The 13,199-nt window shown below is 42.3% G+C and overlaps 1 protein-coding gene and 1 pseudogene across 27 annotated transcripts in view, besides 3 other annotated features; both read right to left on the bottom strand.

Annotated features, from left to right (window-relative positions):
• Positions 1–13,199, bottom strand: part of PALLD (palladin, cytoskeletal associated protein) — a 431,390-nt gene that overhangs the window by 37,611 nt on the left and 380,580 nt on the right. For 15 of the 27 annotated variants that reach the window (XM_011531768.3, XM_011531769.3, XM_011531771.3 and 12 more), the window contains one exon: positions 12,437–13,108. The exons of the other annotated variants lie outside the window; for them this stretch is intronic. In XM_011531768.3, coding sequence (XP_011530070.1) covers positions 12,437–13,108 — 672 coding nt within the window. The remainder of the gene's footprint in view (positions 1–12,436; positions 13,109–13,199) is intronic. 27 annotated transcript variants of the gene reach the window in all.
• On the bottom strand, positions 5,370–5,476 carry RNU6-853P (RNA, U6 small nuclear 853, pseudogene; annotated as a pseudogene).
• Positions 9,395–9,644: an enhancer, noted in NCBI's record as "active region_22127". NCBI's record gives its function as "activates an Ori minimal core promoter by ATAC-STARR-seq in GM12878 lymphoblastoid cells {active_cell/tissue: GM12878}" and the evidence as "EXISTENCE:reporter gene assay evidence [ECO:0000049][PMID:35858748]".
• Positions 12,608–13,192: an enhancer, noted in NCBI's record as "H3K27ac-H3K4me1 hESC enhancer chr4:169798790-169799374 (GRCh37/hg19 assembly coordinates)". NCBI's record gives its function as "activates a minimal SCP1, AML or CMV promoter by ChIP-STARR-seq in naive H9 embryonic stem cells {active_cell/tissue: H9 hESC(naive)}" and the evidence as "EXISTENCE:reporter gene assay evidence [ECO:0000049][PMID:30033119]".
• Positions 12,687–12,926: a silencer, noted in NCBI's record as "silent region_15788". NCBI's record gives its function as "represses an Ori minimal core promoter by ATAC-STARR-seq in GM12878 lymphoblastoid cells {active_cell/tissue: GM12878}" and the evidence as "EXISTENCE:reporter gene assay evidence [ECO:0000049][PMID:35858748]".

Below are 13,199 nucleotides of genomic sequence, written 5' to 3'. Positions count from 1 at the left end.
TCAGCATGTCACTCCCACTATTTTTTATGCTACATCTGTTGCAACTATGATGGAAAGAACCATGAAAGCTGGTTCAGGTAACACTAATTGGATCCAGGTTTCAGAGAAGGTTCACATACATTAGGGGAGTATGCCTTAGTGGGTAGGTAGATGCCAAGGATGGGGAAGGCCTACATTTAAGTCTTAGCGAGGCGGCAGCATAAAGTGAAAGAATGATATGATTTATAAGTAGAGCTAGGTTTAAAATCTGACTCTATCTCGTATTAAGTTTGTGACCTTGGGCAAGTTTTAAAAAAATATATACCACATATGAATGTTGAGAGGTTGAAAGAGAACGTATTTTTATCATACTTTTATTCAGTCTTCTAGTGCTTTGTAATCATTATTCAACAATAGTGCCTAGCCCATTTGAAATCAATATTAAGTTTGTTACCTTCCCTTCCATCCCCTTATATCCTGATTTGATTAGGGTAGGCCAATGTTATTTGAGGTCTATTTTATACAAGAGGGCTCTGGGAGGTCTGCAGGTCCTGCTGTGCCTGGTGTCTCAAAGCCTCCTGAACTTCTGGTGAGGCCAGGGCTCTTAGGACAGGTGATATCTCACTGCCTCTTTCCTTCCAAAGGCAGCAACAATGACCTGAGCTGTGTGAGCCAAGGGTCATTGGTGCTGGATGCTTGAGGGGTACAGAATCACTTCTGTTGGTGCCTTAAGCAAGTTGCTTCCTATTTTTCTTCCTCTTCCCTCATAGGGCAGTGGACAAAAATTAATGAGAAATAGAATACTAAGCAATGGGGAAATGAATTGACCTATCGCTACCCATATCAACAAAGCTGAACTTCAAAAACAAAGTTCCGGTGAAAAAAAGCAAGTCACAGAAGAATATATATGATATACTTGTATTTATAAACAGGCAAAAGCAAAACAGCCCCCTGCTACAGCAGTGGTTCTCAAGGTGTGGTCCCTGGACCAGCAGCATTAGCATGACCTGAAGTTGTTAGAAATGCAGATTTTTGGCATCACTCCAGACCTACTGAATCACAAATTCAGAGTTGGGGCCCAGCAATCTGTGTTTTAACAAGTTCTCTAGGTGTTACATGCAAAAGTTTTAGAAAGAAACTGAGGGGAGCATACATACATGGTAAAACCATGAAGAGAAGAGAATCATTAACTCAGAAATTCAGGGTAGCAGTTACCTCTCAGGGAGAGTAGTGGATGCAATTGGGGAGGGTCAAATGGGGGCTTCAAAGGTACTAGAAATGGATAAGAATTTCATTTTATTGAGGTATACGTATAAATTGTATATACTTCCTTATTTATATTACATAGTTCATGATAAGATATTTCAAAGTTTAAAAAGTTGACTGCAGGCCGGGTGTGGTGGCTCACGCCTGTATTCCCAGCACTTTGGGAGACCAAGGTGGGTGAATCCCCTGAGGTCAGGAGTTGGAGACCAGCTTGGCCAACATGGTAAAACCCCGTCTCTACTAAAAATACAAAAATTAGCTGGGTGTGGTGGTGGGCGCCTGTAGTCCCAGCTACTTGGGAGGTTGGGGTATGAGAATTGCTTGAACACTGGAGGCAGAGGTTGCAGTGAGCCGAGGTCGCACCACTGCACTCCAGCCTGGGCGACAGAGCAAGACTCCGTCTAAAAAAAAAAAAAAACCACACACACACACACACACACACACACAAAATAAAGCAAACAAACAAAACTTTACTGCCAAAGCGTCAAGGCACTGTGTGCCTCATGTCACTTCACTGATACAGTAGAAAGCACAAGTAAGGCTAAGAATGTACCTAAACACTGGGTTCACGGTTTCACCCACCAGTGCTGGGAACAAAACAGTCACTAAGTATGCAGCAGAAACTCTGAGGATCCTGTAAAGACTCTGCCACCGTCCCTCCTAAGTCATGATGCCATGCACTCCTGAGGCCTGTGCTCCTGGTCTTCCCAACAGCTGTTCTTTCCTCTTGGCCACTCCCCTTTGTTTCCTTGCTGAATTTTTTCCTAATTTTGCTGAGTGTTCACCCTTCAATGTGCTTATAGAAATGTGATCCCCCTCCCCAGACTCAGGGGGTAATTAATGTACGCCAATTTAAATGGTCTCAATCCCCTCGAGAGTGATTAGTTTGGCCAAAGGCATGCGATATAGCCTGGGCCAATGAGACTGGAGGAGTGGGGGGTAGTCAGAGGGTGGAGGTGCTCTAGTTAAAATTCTCTCATCTCTGAAAAGAAACAGAAGGAAGAAATGCCCCTCTTCTTTCACTGGATATCACTGTGTCAGAAATGCAATGTCAAAAGCGGCATTGTTCACTCCATAACTGTAAGAGGAGAACCCATATGTGCCAATGATGATAGACTGAAAAGATGGAGAATACCTGGGCCCTGATAATGTTTTGGGGGCACTGTCTTAACCTACCATGGAACTACCCTACCCCAGACTTGTTTCATAAGTCAGTAAACCCTGTGCATCGAATCTCCTTGTAGTTGAGTCTTCTGATACCTACAGTGGAAAATATGCTAACTGATTAAAACCTGCTATTCTAGGTTTGTCCCTTTTAGTCATTTGCCCTGAAGTTCAAATAAGGTAACACTAGACTTTACAAACTCATTTTGATATTTAAGGAGACCCTGAGACAGTAAGAACCATAGGAATTATTTATAACTTCAATTTCTAGTACCATGGAATCCTTTAACAAACACGTGCATAGTTTGCTAGTTTTCCCAAGCCTGGAACCTCTCTCCCCTCCTACTCCTTTATCTGGGGTTGTTATCATCAGTCTTCAGCTTAATGACTCCTTGGAAAGGATGTCCCTGACTAAGCTTGTCCCATTAGTTGTTTTCCTGATAGCATCTATCACTCTACTATTTTTTCATATTGTCTCTCCCTTACCATGGCTCCTTTGTTAATCACAGTGCTGTTAACAGACACTCAAATAATATTTCTGAAATGAGTGAATGGATGTACTGTCCATCTCTACTTCTGATTTCTCTCTCCCCTCCCTTCCTCAGTCAAGAAAACTTGTGCCAGAGCCATGTGAAATCAGACCCTATGTAAAAAGTCAGGCCCAGGACAAGTAAAAATTATACAATTTTGGAAGTGAAGTTCTCTGCATTTCACTACAGCCTTACATCTGAGAACTAGAAGAGCTAGGTTTTGAAGTCATCTTAAAGGTAAACTGAAGGCAGCCAGCTCTCTGTTACATCAGCAAGGACTGGGAACACACACATTCCCATTATTACTCTAAGCCTGTGCGATGTAGACCATAGAACAACTATGTGCTGATGAGCAGCCTTCAATGACAGAAGGCACCACTGTGTTTCTGCAGGTAGACTACACTAAGAGCTGTGTTCTCAGCACAAATGAAAAAGAAAGGGGAGACAGGGAGACCATCAAGGTCAGAACAGGTCATCTCAATCGGAGGAGCGGAGAACTGGTTTTTAAAAGTCAGCCACAAGTTCCCTTGGACAAGAAAATACCTGTCTATTCACTGTAGAATAAGTCCTGTTCCTTGGGAAGCATTTCTCAGTATATTTGACTCTTAAAGGGACTTAGAACAACTGCTCTGGAACATTCCATAGAGTTGTCACCTTGGTTTGTGTCCCTGCCACAAGGGTAATTTATCCTTTCAAAGGGTATAATTACAATTAGTCTTTGGCTCAAGTAAAAACTGATTATTCTACTTTTTCTTTTTCTTTTTTTTTTTTTTTTGAGACAGAGTCTCACTCTGTTGCCTAGGCTGGAGTGCAGTGGCACCATCTCGGCTCACTGCAACCTCTGCCTCCCAGGTTCAAGCAGTTCTCCTGCCTCAGCCTCCTGAGTAGCTAGGATTACAGGCATGAGCCACCACGCCTGGCTAATTTTTGTATTTTTAGTAGAGATGGGGTTTCACCATGTTGGTCAGGCTGGTCTCGAACTCCTGACCTCGTGATCCGCCCGCCTCGGCCTCCCAAAGTGCTGGGATTACAGGCATGAGCCACCATACCTGGCCTCTATCTTATAACAAGTCACTTCCTTCAACATATCAAGATTACCAGTATGAAGGGCAGTTACTTAATTCCTAATTTCCTACAATGTTAAAGACATTTTCCTCTTTACTTACAGAATTTAAGGTACTCATATTTTCTTGGTTCTAAACAATTAACACAGAAATAAAAATAAACTGAAATATGTTTTTTCTTTTTATAGACTGGGTTTTGCTCTGTCACCCAGGCTGGAATGCAGTGGTGTGATCACAGCTCCCTGCAGCCTTGACATCCTAGGAGGCTCAAGCAATCCTCCTGAGTCATCCTCCAAGTAGCAGGGACCATAAGTGCATACCACTGTGCCTGGCTAAATTTCCATTTTTTGTAGGGACAGGTTCTCCCTATGTTGCCCAGGCTGGTCTCAAACTCCTGGGCTCAAGGGATCTTCCTGCTTTGGCCTTTCAAAGAGCTGGAATTACAGGTGTGAGCCACTGTTCCCAGCCAAAAGATATTTTAAAATGTCTAATAGTGATTAGACAAATATTTATTGAGCATCTAGCAGGGCCCAGTGCTAGGCCAATACATTAATACAAACCCTGTTAAGCCTAGAAAAAAAGAGTTGGTTTCTAAGGTAAGTGATTGTTAATGCCTGATGACATCATGGAATTCTATGTATTAAGATTTTATGCATAAAAATGAAAATATATTAAAAAAACCAAAAGCTTCATCATGATAGTCTCAACACTAATAGTTTTTGCTTCTTAGTACATTTAATTCAAATTATTATATTGAAGAACTGTAACATTAATTGCTTATATCTTCCTTTACTGAGCTTTCTTATCTGTTTTTCCACAAAGAAAAATAAGAGAAAATTAGAATTTGGACTAATTTATGTTTGTACATACATACATAGGTGGTGATGGGAACTGTAGGTTCTTTACCCAAATAGTTAGGTCCTGGAAGAGGACAATTTATAGCAATGGTGACACATGCATTATTTGGTGCCTTGTAGATAGCAGGTACAAATGCTTGCCTCCCTAGTTGGAATGAGCATCACAATCTACTACACAGTTTATATTGCATTCATCCTTGAAGGCTATGAAAATTAGATCCTGAACCTAGAGTTTGCTGTTAGGCCACCTCTGCCTCCTACTAAAATGAATGTGTCCAGCCTATCAAAGATTCTCTTCAACAAGCATGAGCTCCATGACATATTACATTGCAAATCTGACTTTTTGCAAATGTACGTGGCTGGAGACATGCCAATCTTAGCAGTCAGTGCTTGAAATTGAAACTTGAGGGGGAATAAGAAAACATTCCAGTGGGCAATTATTTACAACGATTAATATTTGAACATTTTTAACTTACAAAAATGGCAGTTTCATAGAGGCTATATGGTTTAAAAATACAGAGTACTTCATGACTTTGTGTGTCATCCTTGCACAGAGGCCATGCTAATCTTCTCTGTATCATTGCAATTTTAGTATTCACACTGCCAAAGCAAGCACTCAACATTATTTAAGTGAGATGGCAAAGACCCCCCCACATCCTAAAGGATGGTCCTTGATCACAAAGGCTAATAACCAAGTTGGGGAATAAGTTAAGGAGCAAACCATGTGGTACCAATTCTAGATGCAATGGGAATAAAAAAGAAACAGAAAACAGTGCTGGCTAGAATGACTGCAGAAGACTCCATGAAAGAGGCAAGTTATAAGCCCTTGAAAGATGACAAGGATGTAGACAAGTAGAGTGGAGAAGAAGAAGAAATTCAGAGTCAGCGTGAATAAAGAAACAGACGTGATAACCTGTTTTTTTGTTTGTTTGTTTTGTTTTAACCACTTAAAAGCTGTGTGGTTTGGGCTAGTGACCTAATGACCATATGTCTCAGTTTCCTCCTTTGTAAAATGTGGGTATTAACAGCTCGTATCTGATGCGATCACTGGGTAAACTACATGAACTAATGTGTACTAAACACTTAGAACAGCGCCTGGTGTAGTAAGAGTGGATCTGAAGTGGCAAACAGAAAATATTCAGCATGGAAGTAAGTCACAGAGACAAGATTGGCTGAGATAAACAGAATGGAAGAGGGGAAGGAGTTTAAAAAGATGCCAAGAATTCTTGACCAGAATTTACAAGAATGTGCAAATAACCCTTACTGATTGCCTTCTCAGTGTTCAACTCTGTTCTAGGTGCTAGAAATACAATGTTGAACTAGGTCACAATAGTTAGAAAAATTGTATTTTTATGGTGGATATGGCAGAAAGAGATAAGAGAAAAGAATGGAAGGCAAGACATATCAGGAGGTGGTAAACGCAATGAAAGGACAGAAGTATGAGCAGATGACTGTATCAGACAGTGTGGTCCATCAGACTTCTGAGGAGGTGACTCTACAGTGGTGGCCTAAACCATAGGAAGTGGCTGGCTATGTGAGACCTACAGGGAGAGCTTGGCAGTGCAGAGGTCCTGTGACCAGAACCAGCCTGGCAGGGCCAACGGATGGGCACTGTGAACCCTGAGGAAAGAGGTATGGAATACAGTTTTCTCACACTTATTCTAATATGGAACCTCTTCTCTTTTTCAGAGCATCTCACTGGACTAACGTAATTCAGAAACACTTTACGAAATTAAAAGTTGAGGACAGGGTTTAGGGGTAGCATGCAAGGTGAGAGTTAGAAATAAAAGTGGAGTATTTTGAAAGGGGAGGCATGAGGAAAGAAAAGCAGTTATAAGTTTTGAGGCAAAAATTTGGCAACTGAGTTTGTTTTCCTATAAAACTAATGCTATGTTAGAGTTTAATGTAAGATGGTTGTAGTTCTGCTCCCTGAAGTGGCACCTTCTTTTGATAAATGAAGAGTAGCAACTCATTAGGAAATAAAAAGAGTGGTGACAAAGACATGATCTCCTTTTTTTTTTTGATGGTTTGCACAATTAAAAAAAAATAAAATAGTATTCAAAGTTAGTAGTTACCAAAACCAGAACTCTTCACAAAAATCCATACTCAGAGGCAAACCTTAACCAATAAACAATTTGTAACAGGCCTCCTGCACTAAATACTTCATTGTATACACACTCAGCCCAACTGTACAAAAAACATTACTGATCTGTTTACTCTGGCTTTAACAGTAAGTCATTTGTCATTTAAAAACAATATTCATGTGGTTGGGATAAAAACATCTCAAACATATACACAAGCATCTGGAAGGTAAAATTTTCCAGATTCAATCACCACCAAATCCCAAGAGGTCTCTTTTTTTGGCTACTGAATAATCTTGAAAGCATCCTTCCCTTGATATGCTATTGCAGGTCAATTCTGTGAGCAGATTTCAGAAACTCAAATTTCCAGAGCACAATATTGATTAAAGAGATAAGGTACCAGAATCAACCAGAGAATTTAACTATTACAAGTCCTCTTATTCTACTCTTCTCACATTCAGTGAAATCTGATGGTAACTAAATTCCACAAAATTTCAGAGTGAGCAAACTCATTAACATGTTGGCATTTAAATATCACTTATATTCAAGAATGTAATGTATTAATATATAAAAGAGCCCAAGATATACAAACTGAGCTTTTGTATATCAATTCTGTTTTCCTTTTACTGAATTTTACGGTAAAGCAAAGGCTGTTAAAGTACAAAAAATGGGTAACTTAAGCTCATATTTAAAGGAAAATAGATAACTTTATTGTAATATCAAATTCTCCTCATATTATATTTTGGGTTCTTTAAAAAAGAAAATGACAAAGGCACGTGGGTTACTTTTTTTTTTTTTTTTGAGACAGAGTTTTGCTCTGTCACCAGGCTGGAATGCAATGGCGCAATCTCAGCTCACTGCAACCTCACCCACTGTGTTCAAGCGATTCCCCTGCCTCAGCCCTCCCAAGTAGCTGGGACTACAGGTGCACACCACCATGCCCGGCTAATTTTTTGTATTTTAGTAGAGATGGTGTTTCACCATGTTGGCCAGGATGATCTCGATCTCCTGACCTCGTGATCCACTGGCTTCGGGTTACTTCTGTTCATTCATTCTGTACAACTTGGTACACAGCCGTACAGGTCTGATTTTGAGCTGCCCCAGGGGCAGAGACATTTCAACAGAATAACCCAGTCGCAGCAGATCCTGGAGGCCTTGCCTACTAATTTGTTGGTAAATACTTGTCCAGGATTGGATACAACTTGATAAGATACTGGACCCTAATGAGCCCAGTAATAACACCTCCAACCCCTTCAGGTCAGAGAATGAAAAGCCCCCCACTATCTGTTTCCTGAAAAATAGGAGAAAGATAGGTAGATGAGATGTCTGCAAAGTACATTGCGGCTTGTATCTGTTGGATTCTTTTTCACTGGTTACTATCTAACCACAGTCTTGACTTGAAAACTGGTGAAAATGCCCTGTGTCATGAATCTTAAAGTACAGTTAAATTTGTTACAAAGTTTTCCTTGACTCGGGGATTCTGATTTGCTGCTTCTACAACAGCTTTCTTTAATCAAGAAATGTTAGACATTAGAGTTATTTGAGATGAACCTAAGTCACGCTATGCTCTCCTTGCTCAGGCATTTCTTCCAGAACCCTGGGAAATCCCGTCACCTCTTGAGTAACGATGATAGTGTCCCCACCTACCCGTTTCCTATGAGGGAGAAAGAGAGCGACAATGAGATAATGTCCATAAGGAGCTGTGGGCCTATATAATAAAAGCTGTCATTAATACATCTGTATAAAAGCTCTTATTGACACATGCTCTTCTTTGTGACAAACATGGGGCAACATTTCAAACCAAAGCCCTGCTTATATAAAAGAGGTAGTTAAGAGCATACAACATTGTGGCACTGTGGCTATGTGGCACTCCCTTATGAGCACAGATTCCAAGAATGTGAAGATGGCAAAAGAAACAGTGCCAGTCTGGTTCCAGGGATGGGTCTGATCTGATTCACCCTTCAGACTTAGTATGGCCACTCAGAGACCAGCAGAGCAGAACTGCCACACTATGCCTGTCGGCACTGCCAAATCTTCTGGGTTTCTTCTGTGTCTTAGGGCTGATTTACTATGTGGAGAAACATGGTTACAGCAATGGAGGCTGTAACACCAACTTACCAGCAATAGTGAGGGGAATAGAATACATTAATTTTATAAAAGTGCAAACAGATTTCTCTCTAAGGCATGCTCTCCTTACTGCCTCCATCTAAAAGAGTTTGTCAACTTAATATTTGTATCTGTTGACAGCTTTGTGCAGGGCAATATTTTGCCAGTGACCCCAGTAAATTTGGGGAAGATGTAGCATAAAGGAAGAAAGGCATTTGAGGAACTGTATGTATAGAAGTTCCCCAGACCGCAGTCAACCTCTCTCCGGCTCACAGAACAGCATGCAGTTGGTTGACTGCGGTCTGGGGAACTTCTATACATACAGTTCCTCAAATGCCTTTCTTCCCCAGATTTACTGTCTTTTGCCTCGGCTTTGTGGTTTATCACTGACATCCATGACCTTTGTTCCCTGCTTTGACCTCTGCTACCCAAACATATGAAAAACAGAACCTTATCTCCACAGACTGTTTAGAAACTTAGTACTTACTAACCTTCCTGTCTACAGATGAAAATAAGAACAGTGTGAAACAAACAGAATAAAACAGCAAGTATACAAGTATGATTAAGCAAACTAAGAGAGACTGGACACAGTGGCTCAGGCCTGTAATCCCAGCACTTTGAGAGGCCAAGGCAGGCGGATCACCTGAGGTCAGAAGTTTGAAACCAGCCTGGCCATCATGGTGAAACCCCATCTCTACTAAAAATACAAAAACTAGACGGACGTGATGGCCCACACCTGTAATCCCAGCTATTTAGGTGGCTGAGGCATGAATTGTTGGAACCCAGAGGCGGAGGTGGCAGTGAGCTGCAATTGCACCACTGCATTCCAGCCTGGACAACAGAACAAGACTGTCTCAGAAAAAAAGAAAAGAAAAGAAAAGAAAACTAAGATATTGGAAATTTACATTTAAGATTTTGGTAAAACAAGGCAAGTGAAAAAAACCTAATGAATTTCTACTTCATTGTGTTACATATAATCAACCAATTTGTTGGTACTTGATATATATGGCAAAACTATCCAGCTAAAGAAATAACACTTATAAGTGAAACTGAATATATACATCTTATGATAACTTGGCAGTTCCTGCAAGTTCCAGGATGCCAAAGTCATGGCAGCCCTGATAGGGACACTCAATCTTTGGCAAATTATTTGGATTATTATGGTAAACAAAAATAGTAACATTTTTGTTTTTAATTCAGAATGCAAATGACAGATCCCATAGTATGCCAGAGGAAAAACATGTTTCAAAAGACACATTTATCAAACCAAAATAATGAATTCTTCAAGTATGCGTGATTTAGCAACAGGAAAATTCCTTGAGGACAAAACGGTAACCACATAATAATGGCTTACTGAGCAGGCATGGAGCTAAAAATCTGTAGTCTGGTATTGCCACTTTGATGTCACAGCACTTCACTATCTTTGGGTACAGTTTTCCATGGCCACAAAATCGGCACGACTTCTCCATTAATTTTTAAGAAATGGCAGGAACGACTGGACTCTTGTGGTAACAATTATAAGCTATTTTGACTCCATAAAATGAGTCACTGTGATAGATGCTGACAAGAAGCAAGTGCTCCTGTTACTTGAGGTAAGCCATTAAAACTTGCTTATCTTAAGAAGGTTTCAAAGTCACTGATCAGCACAAACTGCTGTTTCTACTACAAATGATAAATGGCACAATCATCACCACCTTTGAAAAACGAATCTTTGATCAAATTCTATAAGAGAAATATTAGAACAGATTATTTACACAGTACTCCTCTTCCTGGGAAGCAAGACTTGGTACCCTTTTAATGAGAGAGGATGAAAAAGTGTCATGCAACAAACTCTGGCTCTTTGGGTCTCTCTAACAGCTTCTTTGTACCAAGATAATACACTTCCTTTTCTAACAGCTAAATAAAAGCTCAAAGAGAAAAAACAAGGGAGAAGGACAAAGGTTCTCCTCAGACAAGTTGACTGACAACTTTCAACAGAAGTCCATTATCACATCATTACTATATTTGGCTCCTTTTTTGGACTTGTTTCTTTATATATTCATTGGACTGTGTTTCACCCAATAAGGATTTGAGAAGAAGCCACATTTCAAATTAATGTAATCAACATTTAGGAAGTGCCCAACAAAAGAAGCATTGCTAACTGAAGCTGCCTGGTACACCTTTGTCGAGGCCCGACATAGCAATGCTTGCCTTTAAGGTGGCATTAGTGTATCCTAGCAATGGAACACTTTTATAGATGAATGAAAATAACTTGAATTCTAAGATCTTCTCCTTTTTACTGTTTAGTAGAGTTCCTTCTTTTTCTCTCTGAACAATAGTATGCTTCTGGCAAACTCTGAAGTAGGATTTCAGAAGGAAGAGTTGAGATATGGGTGCTGGCTTAACCTTTGTGAGCACTTCCTCATTTTTGAAATCTTCAGTAAAATGAGTAAGTACTAGCATTTACTCATTTTACTCTTCAACCAAACATGCCTAACACCTGTACTGTATTTTTTTGAGGATTTTACTGTACTTCTGTAGGTGTTATTTATCCTCAAAGATTTTCCATTTTAAAGACCTCATAGGGCTGCCACATCATCACTGTGATGTAAAGAGAGACATATTAGATCACCTGCAAACAGAAAGAGATAGAGGAGGCATGTAATGTATCTCGAGGTCACAGGCCAGGGACAAAACTGGCATCATAATTTCTCCACTAGGTTGCATACACCCTCATTTATCTACATCAAAACATAAAGACATTTACATGCTTTTGCCCCCTTCCAGTCAATCACTAGATTTACACAAAGGCTTATTTCTTAAATCTGTTAATTAAGGTTTTTCAAAAACACTAAGTATATACTTAATAACCAAACTCCTTCACATCCATTGTAATGCTGGCATGAAATATTATAATAAAACACATAGTTTGGTGGTGAGAGCATGGATTCGTGTCTCGGTTTAGTGGCTATGTGACCCTGGGCAATTTATTTAACTCCTAGACTCCTCAGTACTTTAACTGGGGCAATGCTACCTCTTAGGAATGTTGTATCAAATGAAATAATACATGTGAGTTGCTTAGCACAGTGCTCAATAAATGATAGCTAAGCACCCCCCCCCCCATAATGATTAAGAGAGGGCACTGCATAGATTTTGAATAGTTCCTGATGAGAATCTCATATTAATTCAGAGGAAAAAGTTCTGATTTTGATAATGTTAAGTGGCTACGCAAGAATCACTGAGTCAAATTGCCGTTAAGAATTTTTACATCGCACGGAGAGAAATGTGTGAAATGTTACTGGGGCGCTCTGGGTTGCAGGCTGATGGGAGCGCGTGTATGGAGATGTGGGAGTCCCAGGGCGACCCGAGGCGGAGGGGCAGGGAAGTGGAGGACCGCGGCGGTTACTCACGCGGGGGTGACACCCTTGGGCAGCCCCAGGGCGTTGACGGCCGCCGGCGGCGGCTGCGAGGGCAGCAGAGCGCTGAGGAAGGCCGCGGGCGTCTGGCTGTGGCCGAAGCGGGTGGCAGGCGACGAGCAGTGGGACGCCTGTCCCGGGCTCGGGAGCGGCGGTGGTGGCGGCGGCAGTGGGAACACGTCGGGCACCGGGAAGGCAGCCGTGGGGCTGAAGACCGGGGGTGGCGGGGGCGGGGGCGACGGCGAGGAGGAGCCCCACGGGGCCTCGGGCTCAGCGCCGAAGGGCTGCGCGAAGGGCGGCACGGGGGCGCGGCCGAACTGCCTCGGCGTCGGGGACATGGGCGACGGGAGGCTGGACGAGCTGGGGCTGGAGGCCGGCGTGCCGTGGCCCGACGCGGGCCCGAGGTTCTGCGCGGCGATGAACTGCTTGGGGCGCGCGTAGTTGAAGGAGCCGGAGGACTGCATGGCGGGGGCGGAGCGGGAGGCCAGCGCGCTCATGGGCTCCGGGGACGCGGGCGGCGTGCAGGCCGCGAGCTCGGGGAAGGCGGGCGGCGGCGGGAAGGGGGGCGAGGGCGGCGCGCTGCGCGGGGCTGGCGGAGGCTGCCGAGCGCCGGCCTCCTGCTCCAGTCGGATTTGGTTCTGGAGTTGCTGGAGCTTCAGAGGGTCCCTGGGGGGAAAAAGAGAAGTGACACCTTCAGAGATGGAACGGCCAGGAACGTGTATTCCAGGAGTGAGCTCAGCTTGTGGACATCGCTTGG

The sequence above is a fragment of the Homo sapiens genome, chromosome 4 (assembly GCF_000001405.40).
Source record: "Homo sapiens chromosome 4, GRCh38.p14 Primary Assembly".
NCBI classification, from domain to species: Eukaryota; Metazoa; Chordata; class Mammalia; order Primates; family Hominidae; genus Homo; species Homo sapiens.
Note: the sequence above shows the minus strand (reverse complement) of the source record. Positions and strands in the feature narration are given on the sequence as shown.